This window comes from Homo sapiens, chromosome 15 (assembly GCF_000001405.40).
Source record: "Homo sapiens chromosome 15, GRCh38.p14 Primary Assembly".
NCBI classification, from domain to species: Eukaryota; Metazoa; Chordata; class Mammalia; order Primates; family Hominidae; genus Homo; species Homo sapiens.
This window is the reverse complement of record NC_000015.10, coordinates 61,506,621-61,530,143: the sequence shown is the minus strand read 5'-3', so window position 1 is coordinate 61,530,143 and position 23,523 is coordinate 61,506,621. Positions and strand designations below refer to the sequence as shown.

The following is a 23,523-nucleotide window of genomic DNA, read 5'->3' as shown; positions in this document are numbered from 1 at the left end:
AAGAGGAGGAGCTACTGCATGCCTACTACACTGCACTGCGTCATTATCTGTCTTGCAGATATGTCTTATACTTCTTATATATCATGTGTTCTTTCTCCCCGATAATGTGGTGGTTTTTTATATCTAAGGATCTCTGTCTTGGTTTTCTAATATATCTTATACCTTTTAAGGAGTAATATGGGCTGAATTATATCCCCCTCCAACATTCTTAGGATTACTTCAACCCCCAGGATCTCAGAAGGTATTTAGAGATAGGGCCTTTAAAGAAGTGACTAAGTTAGAATGAGGCCCTTAGGGTGGGCTGTAATCCAGTCTGATTGGTGTCCTTAAAATGTGAGGACATTTGGACACAGGCTAAGGGGTGACCATGTGAGGACACAGAGAGAAGGTGGTCAACTGTTTGCAAACCAAGGAGAGAGGCCTCAGAATAAACCAAACCTGCTGATACCTTGATCTTGAACTTCCAGCCTCCAGAACTGTGAGAAAATAAGTTTCTGTCGCATAAGCCACCTGGTCCGTGGTATTTTGTTATGGCAGCCCAAGCAGACTAATACAAGGGAATTATTATGATTTATACTTGTTTAAATCACCTTGTAGTGCTTCGCATACAGCAGATGTTTTATAAGCATTTTGATGATTTATCATTTTGATCCGCTTTCATCCATTTATTCAATCAGTCATACCTGAGCAATGCCCTGTGCCAGGCTCTGTAATAGATCCTGGGGATAAAACAATGAACAAAATAAGAAAAATATCTGCCATCATGAAACTTAGATTCTACTAGGGGAGAAGATAAACAAATAAAATAAAAACTATGTTTACATAGTGATAAATAATTTAAAAACATAATATGGTAAATAGTGCTAAATGTTAAAGAGAAAGAGAAAACAGAGTTAGGAAGAGGATATGGAATGTGCGGGGAGGGTGGTATGTCCAGGGAAGACTTCCTGAAGTACACCACGTTGGGATAGACTTTTTAACGTTAGACAACCCTCCCCTACATCCCCACAAAAATCACAGGGCCGCCTTGAGTAGGTTTCCAGAGGTCATTTTAAACTTCTCCTCAAAGTCAGCAAAAATATACTTCCTGCACTCTCCCAAATCCTAAAGCGGCGTAGCAACAGGTCATTAACCAGCTAATAGATAAATACACAGGTCAGTCACAGACCTGTTTTCCCCTATGAAAAACTAGTTAGTCCTAGGGTACTTTTCTGGTTCAGAAACATTCTCTTTCTCCCACTTTCAAAACATGACTGGGCAATCATTCAGGAAACACATAAAGAGAGAGAATACCTAAAATTTATTTGCATCCAGTCAAAAATGGAAATGACTTTTAGCGTTTGTTTGCATTCCTGCTAGAAAGGACCTATGATGTTTTGTTTGCTCACACAGCTTCCTATTTAAATGGCAGTAGAAAACAGTGAAGGGAAGTAGGAGAGAGCAGAGAGACTGAATCATTTCCAGGATTTACTGATTTGCTGGCTGACCCTGACTAAATCTCCTTAACCTCTCTTTCTTGAATCCATCATTTGACACAATAGCGGGGATAAAGAAACTTGCTGTTTTGATGTTGTTATCAAACGTTTAAAGTTTGTGGTTAGAAGAGACAAAAGCAGGCTGCCGTATTTGCATAGTATTTTCGTTCTTCTTCCTCTCTTGTTTGGTTGCTCTAGTAATCAACTCAGGATAGGCAGTTCCCTTCCTCAGCCCTCCCCAGACCCATGAGGAGACAAACTGCCTGGCTCGCTCACTCTTTGGGGACAGCCATTGCTCAAACCTGGTGGTTGTGAGCTAAGGGTTAAACCCGTGGCTGCCTTGACCTGCAGCATCCCCTTGTTTCAACCACAATTTCAGCTTCATTACACCTATCTGTACCTGCAGGGCAATCTCCGTGACAGGAAAGGAACAGAGAGAACTGAGTGAATTTCATAGGCTCTGCTGAGCCACCCTGATTACCTTGGAATACAGGGCATGCACAAAGGAGGTAGCCTCCCAGATAAGACCTTCTGTTGTGATGCCTCTCCCGGGTCCTGGTCCTGAGACTGGTGAAAGTAAACCTTCTGTATTCAATAACTGCAAATGTGACATCGCAGCAGCTGGGAGGAGCTGTTTCCCAGGCTCTTCATCACAGACAAGTAAAGACAGCACAAGGTGAAGAGGCTCTTGGTAATTGAGGCCTGGAGGCTACTAGCAGCATTCCTGACTCTACCCATTCCCAGGACCTCATCTACCCCTGCCAGATCCCCTTAGGATTCCCCCAAGTGACAGATGGCTCTCCCAGATGGCCAATCGGCACAGATGTGATCCCAACCTTTAGATAAACAATAGCTTTTGCTGGCATGTACAGTAACCTAAATTTGTCCAATTATAAAATCCAGCAAATGCCACAGTCTTGGACAGACCCTGTTTCTAGGCCTCCATGGTCAATTTGAGGACACAGGCACTACACAGAGTGGAAGAAAATGACATGATGTTTAGGGAAAGCCTGAGTTCTGGTCCCAGCTCCTCCACCAAAGAGCTGAATGACCTTGGCTAAGTCCCTTCCCTGCTGCAGGCCTCAGTGTGCCCATCTGTATTGTTTGCAGCTATGGGGCTTGAAGGCCCATCATCTGTGGGCCAGGAACGTGTCAGTTTCATTATGTTGCCCTTTGAAATCTTACCGAAGTTCGTTTAAACTTCATCCCACTTGTGATGAGACCCCGTCCTCCCAGTCTCTGGAAATGAGAAGAGGAGGCGGCTCATGGCTTTGCTCTCACCTCTGCCCCTGAGCTCCTGTTTCTTGTGAATTCACTCAGCTTATTGCTCAGGTGTGCTAATCAGGGCTGTGATGATGGCCATGCAGCACTTCACTCTGTCACTAGTGAGCAGTCACATGGATTTCTCACACATGGCCATTGGGTGGGAAGCAAACTTAAAACATTGGGAAGGAAAATGAGGGAAACCATAAAGACTTGATTTGACACACCATAGTCCTTGCAGGACCATCCCTGCCAATCTGGGCCCCAGGCTCTGGCCATACAAGTCAGACCTCATTCTCTTTCCCCACTCCCTGTTTCCTCTGGGGAATAAGAGCAAATCCTCTGGCTCTCTATGCGGAACAATTCACTTCTTGTTCTGTCCTAGTCTACCAGCTCTGCTTTTTCCTTCCAGACCTTCTAAAGCATTATATTTTCACTCCCAAATATCCCAACAATGTATTTTTCTCCATGTCGTTAGTTCCCTTCAAAGAGTAATTCTGGTGCTAGCTGTTATTTACACACACACACACACACACACACACACACACAAACATGTAATCCCTTCAGACTTACAAGTCCTCAACATTTTGCTTTAATGAGAATTGGTTGAGTACCTACTGTGCTTGGCACAAGGCTGCTCACTATGAGATCTAAAAATGATGTATCTAAATTGGCACCTACTCAGGTGGGAAAACAAGATTAAAACACCCAGAGAACTGATTATAATTAACTGACAAAATGTATGCTGGGGAGGTTAAGAAAAGGAAGAACCAAGTTGATACAGGGAGATCTTCAAAGAGATGATAAAGCTTGTGAGGGCCCCAATGAGTGAGCTGCCTGCCCCATTTCCAGAGAAATAAATCATGTTCAGAGCCTGAGAAGCGGAGCTACCACCCCCTGAGAGGAGGACTGATATTCTCTTCAAACACAAATGCTTTTTGGAAGTTCATCATTAGCTGATGTATGTTTGCTCCAACGCAGACTTGAAACTGGTCCTCATCAAGTTTCCCTCTGTTCTATTTGTCAAACATTTACTATAAACCAGACCCTGATCTAGATCCAAATATCTGCTCTAGATAGCTCAGCCACAGTAGAGGTGGGTTGGTCTTATGTACTGGAATTCATCTCCCACTGGAATAGGTGCTTTGAGTCTGGTTTTCAGCCTAGGTGCTGGGGTCAGTGGCAAGCATCTGTGAGCACATGACTGGGAGCAGAGTGTAGTCTGTTGAGTGTAGAAACTGGGTAAACTGAAGATACGCAATCCAGACTCCCAACGCAGCACACATCCACTCTCATTTATTCTTTCTCTGGTCATGTCTAGCATGCTCAGTATGTGCCAGGGGAAAGGAAAGGGTGTAAAACCTATCCCTTACCCTTGGGGAACCTGCGAGTCTTTTATATCCTGAATAATGACTAGTCTGATAGACATGGGTAATGAGAGCTCAGAAGCACTAAGGAAGAAGAAACTAATCTTTCAGGTCTAAGGGTCATCGGAGAAAGCTTCATTCACTATGGAGGTAACTTTTGGAGCAAGAGTATCAATTCTCTAAGCAGAAATATGGAAGATGGAATCTATAAAAACTTAAAAATATTAATCTAGAATCTTTCAGAAGTAGAAATTCAAAGGGGCTGGAGTAAGATTGAGGTAGAGTAAGTGAAAGAGGGCAGTGTCATGAAGAATCAATAGAGGGTGAGGTCTTTCGCTAAGCCATGTTTGGTCTTTATCCCACAGCAATGGGGTACAGCTGGAGCTTTTGAAACATATGGGTTCACATCGTCTCTGAGATAACTCTAGTATTGGTGTGAAGGAAGAATGGAACAGGAGGCTGGTATATGGTGAGACAGGCAGGAAAGGGTTACAGTATTCCAGGTGAGATATGATGAGGGTCTGGACTGGCTGATTATGGTTGAAGAGATCAGAGTTGGCCTCAACCTGGGCTAGCTGTTGCTTTGTAAAATTAAAATGCCATCAGCTTAGGACTGCGGCAATGCTATGTACTTACTAGGTATTAAAAGTTGTTCCCCATTATTAAAAAGGAAGACGTTGATCCCTAGTACCCTCCTTGAAGGTGACCTGTAAGAACTTGTGCTCATAGTTACTGGGGAGTTGCAAGCTGGTCTACGAGCCCGTCTTCTCTCTCAGAGATCGCCTGAAGTTGTATCCGGTTGCTGAATAGAACGTGCCTCTTTTGCCGCCTCTCCTTAATATAATGAAATCCCCAAGCACAAGGGGGAAAGTGGGCCATTCGGCACAGAAGTGATTATAAAAATTGACTTTTATGTTGATTGTAGATTCTCTAACATGCCTCCCACCCCGTGGTGTCTGAGAAGAAAAAGTGTGACAGGTCTCACCCCGAAGGCAGAGGCGCAGCACTTGCTGGGAACTTCTGCCAACCTGGCAATCTGGTGCCACGGCCAAAGATGTCTTCCAGAAACATGGAGCCGAAGGACGTCGTGGCTAGCCCTTCCCTCCCTCCTTTGAAAGCCGCTATTCCAAAGTTAGCTCTCTCTTTGCTCCTCTAAATATTTCCTGATGTTGTATCCTTAGGTGTGAAATTGTTTTGTAAGGGACTCTAGCTTTTGCAGCTGGATTTTAGGAGGCTATAGAAAAGAAGTCCCATAAATCCCCCCACCTTCTAAGTTACAAACACCAATTAAACAACTGTACTTGCACCTGGAATGGCAGAGATTGCTTTAAAATCCTCATTCTGTAGCCGTAATTGCCAGATCATATGTAGAAATGTGGAATGTGGGAGTCATTATGGATGATAGTGAAATGGCCCGTTTATTGCCCTTTCTTGGCTAGAATGTTTCTTGAGTGAGTTGTTTTCTACTTACTGGCTCTGGCTATATAATGCCAAAACATCTGATGAATGGAGCCAAAATTTCAGCCCATGGTTTGCTGAATAATCTGAAAATGAAATTATATGAAAATAACTGGGTGTGAGGGAGCGGGTGGTACAAGTAGAGAGGAGGAAGAGGAAGGGGCAGGTTGTCTTCACCATTCTAAATATTTAGATTGGCTCAGGTTTTCACTAAATTGAAAAACTCTTTCTCAGTGATGTGTTAGGGACACAACTCTTTTGCATGTCTGAATGACTCTTAAGTCTGGTTTCCTGAAAATTCAGTGGTGCCTTTCCTTCCTGTGGGTTGAGCAGTTATTTTGATCTTTCAGCTTGGGGTTTCTGAATATTTGCAGTATTATTCTGATAGTGTTGTGCTGGCCCCAAACTGTGTTCAATAAAAATTCGGGAACAAAGATGTGGTTTCTTCTAAGTCACAGTCCAAGAAGAAGAACAAATGGATGTTACTCCTTTTATTAGAAATAACCAGGATCTTTTTTTTTTTTTTTTTTTTTTTTTTTTTTGAGGCAGAATCTCACTCTGTCACTTAGGCTGGAGTGCAGTGGTGTGATCTTGGCTTACTGCAACCTCTGCCTCCCGGGTTCAAGCAATTCTCCTGTCTCAGCCTCCTGAGGAGCTGGGACTACAGGCGCCCACCACCATGCCCAGCTAACTTTTTGTATTTTAGTAGAGATGGGGTTTCACCATGTTGCCCAGGCTGGTCACGAACTCCTGAGCTCAGACAGTCCACCTGCCTCGGCCTCCCAAAGAGCTGGGATTACAGGCATGAGCCACCGCACCCGGCCAGGATCTTAAGCAAGTGACATAAGGCAGCTGCTACTGACTTCAGCTCTTTCCCACCGAACATCATCTGACCTGCATTATCTATTCCTCTTTCGTCCATGTCCAAACAGTCTATCTTTCAAGGTCAAGTTCTTATTTTTATTTTTTTGTGCTAACACATAATTGAGCCCTTACTACATTACCAGATGCTGCTTTACATTTATTATCCGACTTAACCTACAAGGTAGACACTATTGTTATTCCCATTTTACAGATGAGAAAACTGAAGTTTAGGAGGATCAAATAACAATCTCAGGGACACACAGCTCCTTTGTGTTGGAACAGAATCAGAAAGCAGAGGATATCACTGCAGCTTGCTTTTCCTTAATCATTAAGCTATGTGGCCTCTCGATTAAAGGCCCAACTCTTCTGAAAACCTCTCCTAATGACCCCATCCACAATGCAGTCTCTGTCCCTCTGGCTTCCCTTTTAACTTACCACTTGTACCACATATCTGGAAATTTCCTCTCACCAAATATACTTTTGACAGTTTTTCTTTATTTTCTGGAATTATGATTATTTTTTGAACTTTCTTATCAAATACGTTCTACAATTATGTTAAAGTGCAGGCCATGTCTTAAATAGCCTTATGCTTGTCACAGCCCTCCATGCTGCAAGAGGACCTGGGAGGTAACAGAGAGATGGCAGACCTATGGTATTATCATCATTATCTGGTCACCTGCCACAGTGAAATCAGTCACATGGAAGCTGAGCTCATAGGGAGGCGAGCTCCTATAGTCCTCTCCACTTGGGGAATGTGTGAATGGGCACTCTGAAACTTTGTGATTCTGCTCAGAAATTTGGAGTTGTGATTTATGGGTGAGATTTACCCACTTCTTAGCAATAGCTGGAACACTAGACCAGTTTTGAAAGCTGGAGGTATTTTTCTGATGTGAGTGTTGGCAAGGATTGGTAAGACCCCCAGCCCCCACTTCCCCAGAGTGTTAAGTGGGGTCTTGAGAAGTGGGTAGGCAGCCAATGTAGAAGTGTATAAGATCTCTTTTCTGGAGATTACACAGAAAATGCAAGCAAAACTTGCAAAGTGGTTTCTATGTTCTTGGAGTTGTCATTTTTGTCACTTTATTTGGCTGTGAAGCTGATTTTCACACAGGCCTGGTGGTTGTTAAAGTAAACACAAGTATAGTATTAATATCCTCTGCATATATTTAGGTAAAATTGACATCCAGTTGAAGTCAAGAAGTGGTTTGCTTACTCATAGTTCTTGGAAACTGTACACATACTGATTTAATACTTATGTTCCCCACATATACATCCTGACTAACAGTATCTTCTCCTCAACTTTTACAAAATTTTACAAATTTAAGCATACAAAATATGCTTAAAATATCAAGTGAGTAATTTGCAGCCACTATACTTTGAGAATCTGCCAGGCCTACTCAAAGCATGAATCTGAACTACTCTGCTTTGAAGCTTTGGGAATTTGGAAATTCATTCATTCTTTTGGATTCATAGTCCATGAGCTGCTATTAAGTAGACATTTCTTCTGATTGGTCACCCCTATTTTGCAAGATTCTTCACTGCCTATTGAATTGACATCAGCTGCCTATTAGCTCTAGCGTATTTTAGGAATGAGTTGTGGCCTCCACCACGTCTGCTACTACTCAGCAGGAGTTGCTCTAGCTAAAAGAAGGCTCTGCTAACGTGGGACTATGCTTGGCATTCACATTGCTTTGGTGGCCCCTAAGCTTGACTTCCAAACTGTGATTAACTGTATGTTATTTTATTCTATTGTAATGAGCTAATGACAATTTTGTAGTCAGCCATCTCTGTCTCATCCCTCCTTCCCTGCAGATGACTAGCATATGTTACACATTTGGTTCAAAGATGCAAAAACCTAGTCCTTGACTTCAAGGCTTTTACAACCTATTTGGGAGAGAATGAGTAAAGTCCCAACCATGTAAATTAATAAATTCAATGTAAAGTAGAACCTTTAAAAATTGTACAGAAATTTTCAAATCTATAGCAGTTGTAGGAATTATAGGCATTTAAGGAAGGGAAGTCGCCATGGAATGAGGCTTTAGACCTTTTGCTAAGCAGCAAGAGAAAGTGAGCTCGCATTTATTAAACACCTGTTCCATGTCAGTTCCAGTCTGTTTATTCTCTCACGTCCAGTCTTCAAGTGTAATAGAAACCATTTAATTTTTAAAAAATCTACCATTATGTTTATTGAGATTGCATGAAGGCTATAAGGAGTGCTTCCCAAGTTACCATATTCAGCCCACACTTTTGGAACCATTGTACATCTCTGCATTTATTCAACTCCTCTTTTATGTCACCCAGTAAACTATTTTACTTTCCTTCTCATAGAACACGTTTCTCACCAGGTTGTTCCTTGGTGCTTTATATGTTTGGCACTATCATGGAAGGGATTCTTTCTACCGTATATTATTGTTGTTGGATATTGCTGAAAAACTACTTTGTATATGGATTTGTATCCTGAACCCTATTCTTGATTCTAAGATGGCTGGTCTGAGGGGATGTTTGAAGTGTCTTGAATTTTCTATGTTTAACGAAAGACCATCTGAAGATAAATTTATTTTCCTCATCTGCAATTATACCTCTCACTTTTGCTTCATGGCCTTTGTGTTGCTTGGATCTTTTGAAACAATAGGCAACAATTTGGGGATATTTTATAATCTATCTTGTTTCTGATTTTGCTAGGAATGATTTCAAATTTAGCAATTCTCAATTTTTGGTATATATTAGAATCACCTGAGAGAAGACCCTCCATGGCTGAATCTCAGGCATACATATTTGGGTTTGAAGTTTAGGAGAGAAAAATTTCCACAAGTAAATTCTGAAGTACATCAATTTTACAAGTATCACTAGTGTTACTTATCATCATCATCATCATCATCATCATCATAGCACTTAATATATAAATGTTATTATAACACTGTTACTAAGTTCCAGACACTATACTGAGCACTTAATATGAGTCACTTTAATTATGCTCACACCAACCCTAGGAGGTAAGAAATCATCATGCCCATTTTACAGACAGAACTAAAGCAGAAAGATTAAATAACTTACTGAAAGCCTCATGGCCAGAAAATCATGAAGCTGGAATTTAAACACAGGTCAGAATTATTTTTGAGCACGTTATTCATAGTCGACATCCCATATGGCTAAGTGTGATGATCATGTTAAGGATCCTTCTATTCCCAGTTTCATAAAATATATCTTTTAAATTTTACCTACTACTTGTTTAGTATTTATTGAGATGGTTTTTCTTCTTTGCCCCATTGATGCTATTGATTATAGTATTAGTTTTCTGAATATTTAATTATTCATTTCTAGTATAGTTTATCTAATTTTAGAGGATGATTCTTTTAGATGTTATTGAATGTGATTGGCTAGTATTTCATTTAATATTTTTCTACCTACACTCATTAGTGTCATTGCAGGTGAGGGGCGTGTGTGCTTCTTTACCAAGATTGGATTTCAGCATCCTTCTTCCTTCATTAAAAAATAAAATTGTGTAGCTTTTCAGCTTTTCTATGCTCTGGGACAAATTATGTGGCAGCAGAATGATGTGATGCTGCTGCTGAAGCCTCATGGCCTCTGACATGTTTCGTAGATAATTCTTTAATAACTTATAAAATTTCTTCCATTGTGATTGATCTGCAGGAAATCATTTCTTACAGGTGAAAAAGGTGTCATTGTTATTTTCTGCAACCCGCTCATTATTGAAAACTTAGAAAACACAAAAAGTCAAGAGAAGCAGAAAAATAATCACTGGCGTCCCATACCCCAGATTCACCACAGTTACCATTAGTGTATTTTCTTCTGCTTTTCTTCAAACTCAGAGGTTTTGAATTTATACTGCACACAAAATTTTGTATGCTGCTCTTCTCAATTAAGGTGATAGCCTGGGAATTTTACTTTTATTCTCAAAGGTTGTTTTAAATTACTGAATGATACTTCTTTATTTTCAGGGGACTCTATCTGGATTCAAGTTCTGCACACTTGTTGACTGATTGCATTCTAATTCAACTAGCTATAGAGCATAGGAACAAAGGAAACTTAGTGTGTAAATTAATTGTCATTGAAAACTATCCTGATATGAGATGCTCCACAGCAGTGAGTGCAAGAGAAGTAGGGAAGAACTTTTCTGTGCCCTCTGATTTAACTCACTTTTATTTTCGTATTAAATAACCAGTTAATTATTAATTGTACTATTCTACTCTAGGATACAGGAATAATCAGAGTGGTAAATGACTCAAATGGTCTAGAGGGAGGCAAGCAAGAGTACTCCTGGAAGAGGAGACAGTTTGAATGTGTTTTAGAGAATGAATAGAAATTTCTAGGACAATGGCAAACAGAAAAGTCAAAGGCAAAGAGGTATAAAACAAGGGAGGTATGCTGGAGGAATCATAAGGAGTGCCTGAAATGCAAAATGTGGAGGACAAGGGGTAGAAAATAAGCCCAGAGAGGAGGGTAGGGCTGAGCTCAATGAACAGCAACTTTCAGACAAATGATCACAGAAGCTGAGGGTAGGCAGACTCTCTAACTTAGCTGTGGCTGTCCCCATCACCCCAGCCTGCAAGTGCTGTCGTCACTTGCCAGGTTTTCTTTTTTTTTTTTTTTAATTTTAATTAGATGTCTTTTCAATCTGGATTGCCTCAAATTTTGATTTAACAGTTAATTATTTGCTGCTTAGTTGGCAATAATTGGTTAGTGTCTTATTTTGTGTTCTCCCAGACTCAGACCCTAAGACAAGGATTTGAGTACGATTAATTTGTGAAGTGATCCCCGGAAGCACTAGTAGGGGACTGGGAAAGAAAGGGAAGGGATGGTAGCCAATATCATTAGCATTGTGGGCTTCATTAGATTAGAGCTTCATCCCACCTGGGAACTCTGGGAGCCCGTGGAAAGCCTGCCCATCCGAATGGCTGGGGCTTATTCACCAACTCCTCAGTCATTAGTCAACCATTGCTGGGGGACAGTGGGTGGTTAGTTCCCTGCCTGTCTGGCCTGCTGTGTATGTAAGCAGAGTGGACTCTGGAGGCCAGAGGAAGTTCTCAGGTAAAGAAGTGCAGATGTAAGTCAGGCCAACAGGTGCTGAAGTAAGGCTCAGGGGAATATGGGTAGGGTGCTGACAATTTTTGCTACAGCTGAATATTTTGCACCCTAGACATAATATAAAATGAAATACTTTTAAAGTTCCTTTGTATCTATAGGCCTTTGTTTCTTTTGACAAATACCATAGAATCTTAAAAATCATAGAGTTCGGATACCCATCTTGCCCAAAGGTGTTTGATTTCATGTCTATAGAATGTTCATGTAACTGTATTTGAATTCCTAGTGACTCAGCATTCCCCCGCTTCCTCCTAAGGCAGCCTGTCAAGTCTCTAAACTGCTCTGTGTTTTACAATGTATCTCTTGATTGTCTGCAAAGACCCTTCTCCTATCCATTGACTTTTGGCTGCGTGCTGAAAAAACTTGATTTCTCATTTGCGTGGGGGTTCCCAAACTTGACTGTGTGTCAAAATAAAAATCACCTAGAGGATTTTTTTTTTTTTGGAGACAGGGTCTCACTGTGTTGCCAAGGCTGGGCTCAAACTCTTGGGCTCAAGTGAGCCTCCCATCTCAGCCACCCAAGTAGCTGTGACTAGAAGCCATGCAGCACTATGCTGGGCCCTAGGGAACTTTTAAAGTGTACATATTTCAGGAGGGAGTGCTCCCTCCAGGTCATCTGAGTAAGAATGTCTTAGGAGTGGGAACAAAGAATGTGTAGAATTTTCCCCAGGATATTCTTATGGGGCCAGTGTGGCTGTGGTCTACAGAGTAGAGTTTGGGACTAGCGAGCTAAATGGCATCCTTTAGTAAATTGCAGACAGCCATAACATCCATCCCAAGAGTTCTCCGCTCCAAAGGAAAGCTTCTCATTCCCGCAAACATCCCTAATATAACATGGGTTGGAGTCCCTTCAACATTCTATCTCCTCTTCTGAATATAGTTATGTCTATTTTTACATTAAAATGTGCCACCAAGAACTGCATATAATTGTGATCTGACAGTGTAGAGCACAGCAAAATTATCCCCTCACCTTCTAAACACTAAAATATGATTAAAGCAGCTTCATGTCACATTAACTTTTTTGAGGCCAATTAAACTATGGATTCATGAAGAACTCACCATTGACTAAAGCCTCTAAATCTTCATTGTTTACTTTGGAAGTTGGACTTTTAGTTTAACTTATGACTCAAGTTCAATACTCTGTTGTTCTCCCTTTTCTTCTTCTTTTTTTAAATTTTAATTCCAACACCTATAATAAAACAGACACTAAAGATATGGAGTCAACAGAATTTGCTCATCCATTAGATATTTAGGTGTGATTAACATGAAAGGTCAAAGATGACTCCAAGGGCTCCAGCTTGAAAAGCTATGTGAAGCTTCTATTTATTAAGAATTACAGGGGGTAAAACACTTGGAAGGTGGAGTAGAGGTGATAAATTCAGCTTTAGTAGAGTTGAGTTTGGGGTGCTTGCAGGAGCAGCAGGTAGAGATGTCTAGTGAGCAAATGTGGAGCTCAGAAAGCAGGCTGAAATCATAAATGTGAAGCCTAGAGTTTTCTAGGTGGTAGTTAAAAGCTACAGAACTAGTCCTCCTGGCTTAGGTTATTATTCACAGGTTTAACCCATCTGTTTTAGTTACACGACAGTCTTTGAAGAAAAAAAATACAGGCCAGGCACAGTGGCTCACACCTGTAATCCCAGCACTTTGGGAGGCCGAGGGGGGTGAATCACGAGGTCAGGAGATCGAGACCATCCTGGCTAACACGGTGAAACCCCGTCTCTACTAAAAATACAAAAAATTAGCCGGGCGTGGTGGTGGGCACCTGTAGTGCCAGCTACTCGGGAGGCTGAGGCAGGAGAATGGCGTGAACCTGGGAGGAGGAGCTTGCAGTGAGCCGAGATCATGCCACCACTACACTCCAGCCTGGGCAACATAGCAAGGCTCCGTCTCAAAAAACAAAAACAAACAAAACAACCAAAAACAACAGGACTGCAAGCTAGAGACAAATTTGAACCCTAGAGGTTTCTAGGTGGTAGTTAAAAGCTATAGAACTAGTCCTCTTAGCTCAGGTTATTATTCACAGATTTTATCCATCTGTTTTAGTTACAAGACAGCACTTAAAGAAAAAAATTCGGGACTGCAATGTGGCTCTAAAGACCTTCCTCGAGGTGGCCACTGATTATCCAAAACATGTTTCTATATTATATCCATTCAAATAAGAAATCCTGTCAATTTTCTAAATGACTAAATGTCTTGCAGATATATTATTTCTATCTCATTTCCCTGATGTCCCAATATTAATAACCAGGTAAAACAAGTAAGGTCTGACTTCAAGGACAAACCATTATCAAATTATGTTTATATTTACAATTCTAGTCTCAGTTATTCATTCATAATTTAATGCCTTTTGGCTGATCAAAGGTCTTTGCATATAAATTGCACGCCAAGCCTGGCTTCCTTTAACTTTTTGTTTTTCAAGACATTTGGTGAACCAAACATAGTTTCGATTAATGATGAACACTTTTTCTCCAAGAAGAAACTTTTAAGGAAAACACACACACACACACACACACACACACATATACATACAATGAATTTATTAAATTAGAAAGTAAAAGTAAACAAAAACAATCTTAATGAAGGTACACACAGTTTCTCTTTCCCAACAGTCAGGTCTCAAGTTACAACACGGTTAAAACAAGAGAAAGCATTTTGAGGCTTCACTGGAGAAATGGTCCTTGGGATTAAATTCTCCTTTGACCTATAACTTCAAACAGAACTGAGCAGCAGTATGGGGTTCTCCGTGCTTTTGGTATGTATGTGATCACTTCTTTGTGATGAATTGCTTTTAAATTATTCCCTTTGCTCCTGTTTACCTCATTATTCTTTGAGCATAAATCTTACCCTCAAATAATTTATGCGTAAAGGAATCTGATAGAGGAATGGAACAGGCTCACCAAGTGTCTCCTGCTCATTACAAGTGAATAAATAAATAGGTATACCAAACAATCATTCTCATCAAAAGAAAGTGGTACGTTTTTTTCCTAGACACGTCTAATAATTACTGAGGGATTAGGGGACTCTAACCACTGTGAAATTTGGCAGAGGCATATCAAAATCAGCACAAGTATCTGAGATCCAACTCTGATGACATTATTTTCTGCCGTAAGAAAGCTCATGATGATTAATCAGAGATTTTAAGCTGTTGGGAAAGCCCAACTCTTTGTGGTGGATAGTGTGTTGTTAGGGGTGGGGTATGTTTTTCCGGGCAGGGGGTAGAGTGATAGTAGGGCACAGTTCAGAGTATCCATATAATCTTTTGCCTGGGATGGTGTAATGCATGCTCACCCCACAATAAAGAGCAGAATAATCAATCTCACTGGCCTACACGGGGGTTGCCCTTATACTCTTGGTCTCATTCGTGCATCCCACCATCCAGCTGTGTATTCTCACCACGGATGCGCTTCTTTCTCTATCAAACTTAAGAGCCAAATGCTCCATCCAGTGTCTCGTTTTACTCCCACACATAGGTTGCTCACTCAATTCTCTGGGCTGTGAAAGGTACCAGCTGCTGACTCCTCCTTGGTGTTTAGAGGAAGAGCTGGTGAGTCTATGGAGGGCAGAGAATGCTGAATTTCATCCTTGCCTAAACATGGTGCTGAAGGAATGCCAGCTATAAGTGAATCACATTTGAAGTTTAAACCCACTATGCCCCTCTGCCCAGATCCCCCCTTCAGAAACAAAGGGCTTTGTCCCCTCAGGTGCTGGGAGTGCTATCAGAAGGTGGCTGTCAGCCATCAGCCCTCTTTAGGGATTGCCTTGGCTGAAGAAAACTACCTCGCCAAAGATCATGCCTTTTTCCATAGGCAGCCCACATTCAATGACTGATCAATGCAGAGGTTTAAAGGCCCAGACCCTCTGCCCCAACTCAGGACGATGCTAGAGGGCCATCCAGCCCCAGAGCTCCCCATGGGGTCCCCTGGGGCTTTCACTGGGACTTAATCACAGATCAGCATCTTCCTCTGCCGGACCCTGATGCCTTCTCCCTTTCAAAGGTGCTAGTCCCAAGAGTCCCTGATAGAAACACCTGCATGCTAATCTTAGGGTCAGCTTCCCAGGGGCCACTCTACTTAGAAGTGTATAAATAATCCTTATGTTATTTCATTGATGATCCCACTGCTTGTCCCAAAAAAATATTTAATTGAGGTTAAAAGAAAGTCTGAATAAGCAAAATCCAGAGGTTATTGTTTCTACTTTAGGGACCAGGCTTTTGGCCGATATGCATATGGCTGATCATCAAAATGATTGGGGGTGGATGGAAAAGGCTTTTGAAATAGAGGTTTCCAGGCCCTCTTCCTCAAGAAGACTCTCTGGTAGTATAGCCTCAGGATCTGTATTTTTTCACCTTACCCCTGGTATTCTGATGGGCGGTTCCTGTTGGAAAACCACAGCTCTAGACCATCTTGGCATCCTGACTTAATATGGAGAACTCCAGATACCAAGCCCCAAAACTGGCTCTTCCGTTTCCCTAAAAGAAATGTGACAGTTATCAATAAGTTCAAAATGGATCACTTGTGTTTTCTTCTTGGCTCCAGGAGAAATGTAGCTCTGGGAATGTTTCCAGGGTGTTTTTAGTTCTGCCCTCTAACAGATATTCAGGTCTAGCCAACAACTGATAGGTATTTCAGATTTGGGAACTCTAACATCCAGTCGACTCTGTGTTGGACTTGGAGGAGAAACGCAATCCTCAGCATGTTCTCACATATAAGTGGGAGTTAACAAAGGGTAACGTGGACATACAGAGTAGAATAATCAACATGGGAGACTACAAAAGGTGGGAGGGTGGGAGGGGGTGAGGGTTAAGAAATTACCTATTGGGTACAATGTTCACTATTTGGGTGATGGGTACACTAGAAACCTAGACTGTGTATTATATGCATGCAAGGAAGCTGCATTCATACCCCATAAACAAACATTTTACAAAACCACTTTTGTGGTTTTTATCTTATGTTTTCACCCTCATGCTCGTCATCGTAAAAAATTACTTTAACATGTCAATTATGTTTTTTTCTGTTTTGTTTTTTTGAGACAGAGACTTGCTGTGTCACCAGGCTGGACTGCAGTGGTGCAATCTCGGCTCACTGCAATCTCCACCTCCCGGGTTCAAGCAATTGTCCTACTTCAGCCTCCCAAGTAGCTAGGATTATAGGCATGCGCCACTACACCCAGCTAATTTTTGTATTTTTAGTAGAGGTGGGGGTTTCACCATATTGGCCAGGATGGTCTCGAGCTCCTGACGTTATGATCCACCCTCATCAGCCTCCCAAAATGCTGAGATTACAGGCGTAAGCCACGGTGCCTGGCCATCAATTATACCAATTTACCAAGACCTAATGAGATTACATTCTAGCCATCTTAAATTGTGCCTTGGGAATTAAATCTCTTTTGTTGTGTTTTGTTTTGTTTTGGAGACAGAGTTTCACTTTGTCACTCAGGCTGCAGTGCAGTGGTGTGATCTCGGCTCACTGCCACATCCGCCTCTCGGTTTCAAGAGATTCTCGTGCCTCAGCCTCCCAAGTAGCTGGGATTACAGGCATCTGCCACCACACCCGGCTAATTTTTGCATTTTTAGTAGAGACAGGGTTTCGCCCTGTTGGCCGAAGTCCTAACCTCAAGTGGTCCGCCCATCTCGGCCTCCCAAAGTGCGGGGATTACAGGCATGAGCCACCACGCCCGGCCAAGTTTTCATTTTTAAACATAAAAAAGGAGAAAATGGAAGAACAACTAGTGTTTATGGGGCACCTACTTTGTGCCATGTAGTAGCCTCATATTTTCATAAACATCCACCCAGGTGAACAGATGAGGAATCCAAGGAAATGCAGTGTAATGAATCCAAGGTCACACAGCAAACAATAAATGGGCCAGTATTCAAACCTAGGATTTTAGGACCTCAAAATCTGTGCACTGGTCATTTGGAAATAAGTATTCCTACTATTTTGGCTTTTTGACTGCAAGATGGAGAAATAGTGTTGCCTTCACTGCTAGACAGGCACTAGGACCATTTTTGGTTGTGCAGATAAGCCAAGGGTGACTCTTTTGTACTCTTCTGTTTCTGTGCACCAAACAATTGTGAAAATAGACTCCTGGAGGCTGTAAACAGGAGCAAGTGCTCCAGGCTGTTGAAGTTTAAACAGCCTTCCTGTTGAGGAATCGCCAGGACTGATGGTAAAGCCTGGGGAAACGAGGGAAGATGAGGAACTGCCTTATATATGTATATTTAAGTCCAAGACAAATAAATGAACAGTAAAACCCTTACCTCAAAGGCAAGACAGAGCTGTACTCTCACTAACAACCAGGGTTGTACATCCTCTAACAGCCCCCCTACCCCTCACCCCATCACTCCTCCCTTTTTGTGATTCATGTTCCTTTAATATTGGCCCAGATGCTAATTTGAATTAATTCAACAAGTTTGAGGTTGGAGGAATTGGGGAAGGTACACAATATTAACGGCCCCAGACCTTACTCCATCTTCTGGTGGCTTTGTCTCCCTCAGCAGGTGGAGGGTCTCCTTTAGCCTAGTGGAAAGTTCAGTTCCTTGGAGAAACTGGCTTGCAGAGATCTTGGGGAAGTTCAAGTCTCCTTAGCTGATTGAATCTAATTCAAGAGGTAGTCTAGGCACTTAAGAATGACTTGTATACTGTTAGTAGAGCCAAAAGATTTTGCATTCTGGAATTCTTCCAAGTCCTAGTTATATCATACCACTGTTGTCTCTAGAGCAGGGATTAACATGCTTTTGAATGTGCATCCCCCAATGTTAAGCAAATCGAGCACAGACCCCCACTAGTTTTGTCTTTACTTATATGCATATTTATTTATAAATTATATAAATATGCCTCTTATCATTTGCTAATATTTCAAGGCATGATATAAAATTGTATCAAGGTTTAGGCAGTAGATATAAATATATATTTGATAGTCTTTTATCATGTACAATTTTTTTAGCTGACCTCTTGTTAGATCTGATAGATTGTCATTGTTTATGCCTTAGTAAAAGGTTTGCTCATTCTTGGAGAAGAAATGTAAGCTCAGACATTTTCTTATTTTCATTTGTACTTCATTAGTGCATAATATCTGCTGTGAGACAGTTCTTCACAGATCTCTTATTTTTCTGCGTGTCTGGCAAGCAGGAGCTCTGACAACTTTGATTCTGGTCTATCTTCTCAAGGATGTTTGTATAGCAAAAAGCCATGAAACACAGAAACGGGCTCCCTATGGAGCAGAAAGCAGGTTTGTTTGCTGTCCAACATTATAAAGATAATGTCTTCCTCTGGAGCAAAGGTTGGGCAAGTTTTCTAGCAGTCCTATTACAAAAGATTTGGGTTTGCTTCACTCAGGCTTTCAGCTGTGACACAAACACACTGTATGTGCAGCGTCTGCCTGCACTGTCCACATTGGCCCTGGGGACTTGGGGGGCAAGGCTAGCCAGGGCATACATGAGGTTCACGCTTGTTGTGTTTTAAGTAATAACATCCTTAGTCTCTGACCCAGGAGTCTTGTGTCTTTTGCCAGCATCCATGAAATGTGGCAGGCTAGCTTGTTAGATTGCAAGTAGTATAAAATCTCAGACCTTTCACAATTTTTGACAGCATCTTTAATACATTTTTAAAATTAGAGCAGGAATCTTTTTTAGACGTTGATCTATTTTGTGAGAATTAGTTTGATTAAAACCAGATAATATTGGCAAACCCACACAACTGCAAGCACACTAACTCTTCCTAACACACTGACATGAAAACTAGTGCAAGGGCCCTAAAGTCCACTTGTCTTTGTTGTGATGAGCCCACACTTTTCTCAGGCTAACTTGCTTGCCTCCCAGGTCACTTAGACAATCTGACACACAGATGGAGGGAGGCCATGAGTCAATCCATGATTAATAAAGCTAACTTTTTTCCTTTGGAGATAAAATATAAGTTTCAAAAGAAATCATACTGTCTTCTCATACTCCCAAAGGATGAGCTTGGTATCCCCTTGGAGAACACTGCTGCTGATTATTTTTTCCTCCCCAATTGTGGCCTCATAATACTTACTAAGCACATCAAATGAAACCATCACTGAAGTAAGCACTTCAAGTAAAGTGGTTTTTTGCTTCTTACTGCATCTGAGCACGACTATATCTGTTTTACATGTGACTTCACTATAGGTTAGGTGGATTAAGTAAAATTTCACAGAAGATTTTCACAAATCAAAGTGGGTAACAGCCTCTGTGGCCACAGACTGTGCGCCAATACTGTCTGGTTCACAGATGGCAAGACTGAAGACAGAGGTGTCGGATGCACTGAGCCCCTTTCCATCACCAATTCTTATGTACAGCCGTGTTTTCCTTCTCAGGAAAACTTAGGATAGGCCCCCTGTTCTTCATTAAATGACTTTGTGGTTGTGAGCAAAACTTGATTAATTTCTATTTTAATGAATTCTGCTTTGTACTGAAATAATGTTAGAAGAAGAAACTTAAATATGCTCTTTGTGTTTGTGTTTTAAATACAAAGATTGAAATTTTGTACCTTATGGATTTTTGGGGAGAGGTGGCGGTAGATTTGGGGTAAGGAAAAGACAGATTAGGAAACAAAGGAAAGGAAAGCCTGCCAAGTGCAACTCAGGAAGGTAGTCATGCACGATCAAATGCGTACATGCTTGTAGGATTAAACAATTAATCCTACTGGTTCCACAGCTCAGATATGATCAATTTCCCCCCTAAACAGAGACTCCAGCAAGTCAGACACATCGGATCCGAGCACTTGAGCACTGTCACACTTCACGCCTGCTGGTCTTTAAAAAGATTGATCATCCTGACATGCTCTGAGAAGACCGCCACTGCGTTTCACCACTCTGTTCCGTGGTCTAAAAACAATATTTCAATTTAACAGAACATGGGGAAAGTTTCAAAAGCTGCCAGGCAATCTCCTCCTCTGAAGTTTTAGAGGGAAAATCATTGACACTTCCAGAAGTCAAAGAGAGTGCTTGTGTTTGTGTGAGTGGGGAGGGGGGAGACTGGGGTGGTGGACAAGAGAAATGGGGTGGGAGGTACAACAGGAACTTAAACAGATGTGGGAATCCACTGTACAACAACCTAGCCATGAAACACTGCTCAGAGGCCTCATTTGTATGCTGTGGCGACGTCCTAGATGGAAATCTTTCTGGGAGTTACTAAATATATATTTGTTGGAGGCTGTGAAGGCGCATGGCAGGAAAGGTTCCAGAGATGGATGGGACAGTTGGGGGAGGGAGGGTAGGCAGGAAAGCCAGGACGAGGGGCTGGGCAGCAGTGCTAGGATTTCTGAAATTATGTGATTTCTGTCTTTCTTCACTTTCTTTCACATCATTTGGAATCCCATGACATTTCATTCGCTGGCTGATCCTGTCTTTGTCATTCCCAAGATGACCCAGGCTTGTGAGCATTTCCTGGCTCATGACAGTTTTATAAATGCAGAAACACTGGACACCCATCTACCTCCTGAGACTGTGTCTCACAAGAGGATGCCTGCATATTTTTGGACCTTTTGTGGAGGAGGAAGCAGAAAGTGAGAAAAGATACCAAGATGAATAAACCAACTCACCTGTAATCCAGGGCAATATAAGTCAACAATTTGTCGTGACCAGTGCTCAAGAAATGTTGAAAATAGTGAATAGTAACTAGAGATATTGAAATGTCCTTCTTAGAATAAAGACTTTTTAAAAATCCCTGAATATATATATATCAAAATGCTCTAGATTTAAATTAGAAAGAAACATAATGAAATCGTAGAATTGGCATCTAGCCCAATCCCCTCATTTTACAGAAGAACTTAGTCTCAGAGACCTGAAGAGACTTATCTTGGGTCACACAGTATACCAGAGCCAAAATCAGTTCTGGAACCCAGGAGCCAGTGTTAAGCATCAACTCTTCATTTAAAGCTCAAAATTTCCTGGAAGGAACAAAAATAAGTCTCTAATATCTCACTCCAAATGAATGTTCTCCTTGGCAGGGGAAAGGTAGACAGCTGAAAATCTTTGGGTGCTAGAGAGGTGGAGGTCACAGCAAAGGTCAGCAGGAAATCTTAGAGCAAACTGCTTATCAGTATCATTGTCCAGAGCATGCCACCCACAAAGCCATTTCCCCAGCACCTGGCTATCATTATGTTACTCTCCTGCTCAAAAAAACCTCCACAGGCTCCATCATTGTCTACAGAATAAAAACCAAACTTCTTAATGACACAAAACACAGGCCCTGCTTTCATAGCCACTCCTCTCCTGTAATGACTCCATACTCGATCAGGTACCTGCTTTGTGCTGGGCACTGTGTAGACAAGGGGTTGGCGGGCGGACACAGTGGTAATGGCCAAACAAGACGCAATGACAAAGTGCAGCTTGTGATGGTGATGGGGGTGGCAGAAGAGGGCTCCTAACTATCTAGAAATGACATTTGAGCTGAAATCTGAAGGTCTCAAGGGACCAGCCCTATGAAGAGCTGAGGAGAAAACTTCATAGACAGAGGGAATTGCAGTTTCTCTACCTGAGTGGCCGCTACCGTCTGCCTGCTTCTGCTTCTTTTTTCATGCCATTCCTACTGCTAAAAAGGCCTTTCCTCCATTTGTCTCTACTGACCATTTCTGTCTGAAGCAATGCTGAATAGTGGTAACAAGTGTAGGCTCTGGGTTCATGTGGACTTGCTTCTCTTTTTGCCATCTACAAGCTGGGTGGATTTGGGCAAGTCATTTCATGTCTGTGAACCTCGGTTTCCTCATCTTTAAGGTGGAGATAATAATAAAACCTACCTTAGGGGATTACTATGAAAATTTAGCAAAATCTTTTATATAAGACACTTATTAAAACATAGGTAAAGGTCAATAAATGTTGGTTATTAACTACTCTTTAAGACTCAGCTCAAATTACATCTTCTCTATAAATTTCCTGGGCAATCCCAGCTCAAAGTGGTATTTATTTCATTGGACTTCCTATGTTTCTGGAATTGAATGTTGCTCTCCCTCTGTTTTTTTCGTGTGTGCCAATATTCTCTTGTAGTACGTATTTTGTGTATCACTTTTATTCATCTCCCCTAATAGATTGTGAGCCCTCTTCACAATAATCGTGGCTTACTCTCACGTTTCCTTGATTGTAAGAAGTCATGGCCAGGCATGGTGGCTCACACCTGCAATCCCAGCACTTTGGGAGGCCAAGGTGGGTGGATCACCTGAGGTCAAGAATTCGACAAGAGTGACTCAATAAAGAAGTCACACTACATGTGTGTTCAACGTACATATGCATGGGTGGCCGAAATGGAAGGGGAATGCAAGGAGAGGCAGTGCTGACCACAGGCATATGATCATCATCTGATTGCTATGGTCAGACTCTACGATGGCCCCAATGATCCATTCTCCTGGCATTCATGTCTTCATACAGGTATCCCCCCTTCAGTGCAGGCAGAACTGGCGACTTGCTTCTAATCAACAAAATATGGCAAAGGTAAGAAATTGCTGCCTCCATGATTAGGTTGTTTAACAGTGTGACTTCCATCTTGCTAGCAGACTGTCCCTTTGATGAATCAAGTGACCACATTTTGGAGATACTTGTGTAGCAAGAAACTGATGGTGGCTTCTGTCCAACAGCAAGCAAAGAAATAAATCCTGCTGACAATCAAGTAAGAAAGCTTGAAGTTGGATTTTTCCCCAGTCAAACCTTCAGAGGAGATGCAGCCCTGGCTGACACCATGTTTGTAGAGACCCCAGTGCAGAGGATCCAGATAAGCTGCCCCTGTATTTCTGACCCATAGAAACTGAGATAATTAACACCTGCTGTTCTAAGCCATTGGTGGGATTTTGTGATAAGAGTGTGGTGATTTGTTATGCAGCAATAGGTAACTATACTTGTTAAGTAAACTTGGAAAGATAGCTTTATCTCTGAACTAGGGTCTCCTGCTTAAGGATCTTCTTTATGCTGGGCACTGGAGTGGGTACCAGGTCTACAGTACCAAGCAAGACAGACAGCATCCTGCCGTGGAGCCTGTAGTCCTGCCTCAGGCC

General features: G+C 41.7%; 1 long non-coding RNA gene across 2 annotated transcripts in view; it reads left to right on the top strand.

The window, feature by feature from the left end:
- The window catches only part of LOC107984782 (uncharacterized), a 208,325-nt gene extending 185,043 nt beyond the window's left edge, over positions 1-23,282 (top strand). For both annotated transcript variants that reach the window (XR_001751569.2, XR_001751570.2), the window contains exon 4: positions 22,904-23,282. This is a non-coding gene — a long non-coding RNA (uncharacterized LOC107984782). The remainder of the gene's footprint in view (positions 1-22,903) is intronic.
- The last annotated feature ends 241 nt before the right edge of the window (positions 23,283-23,523 follow it).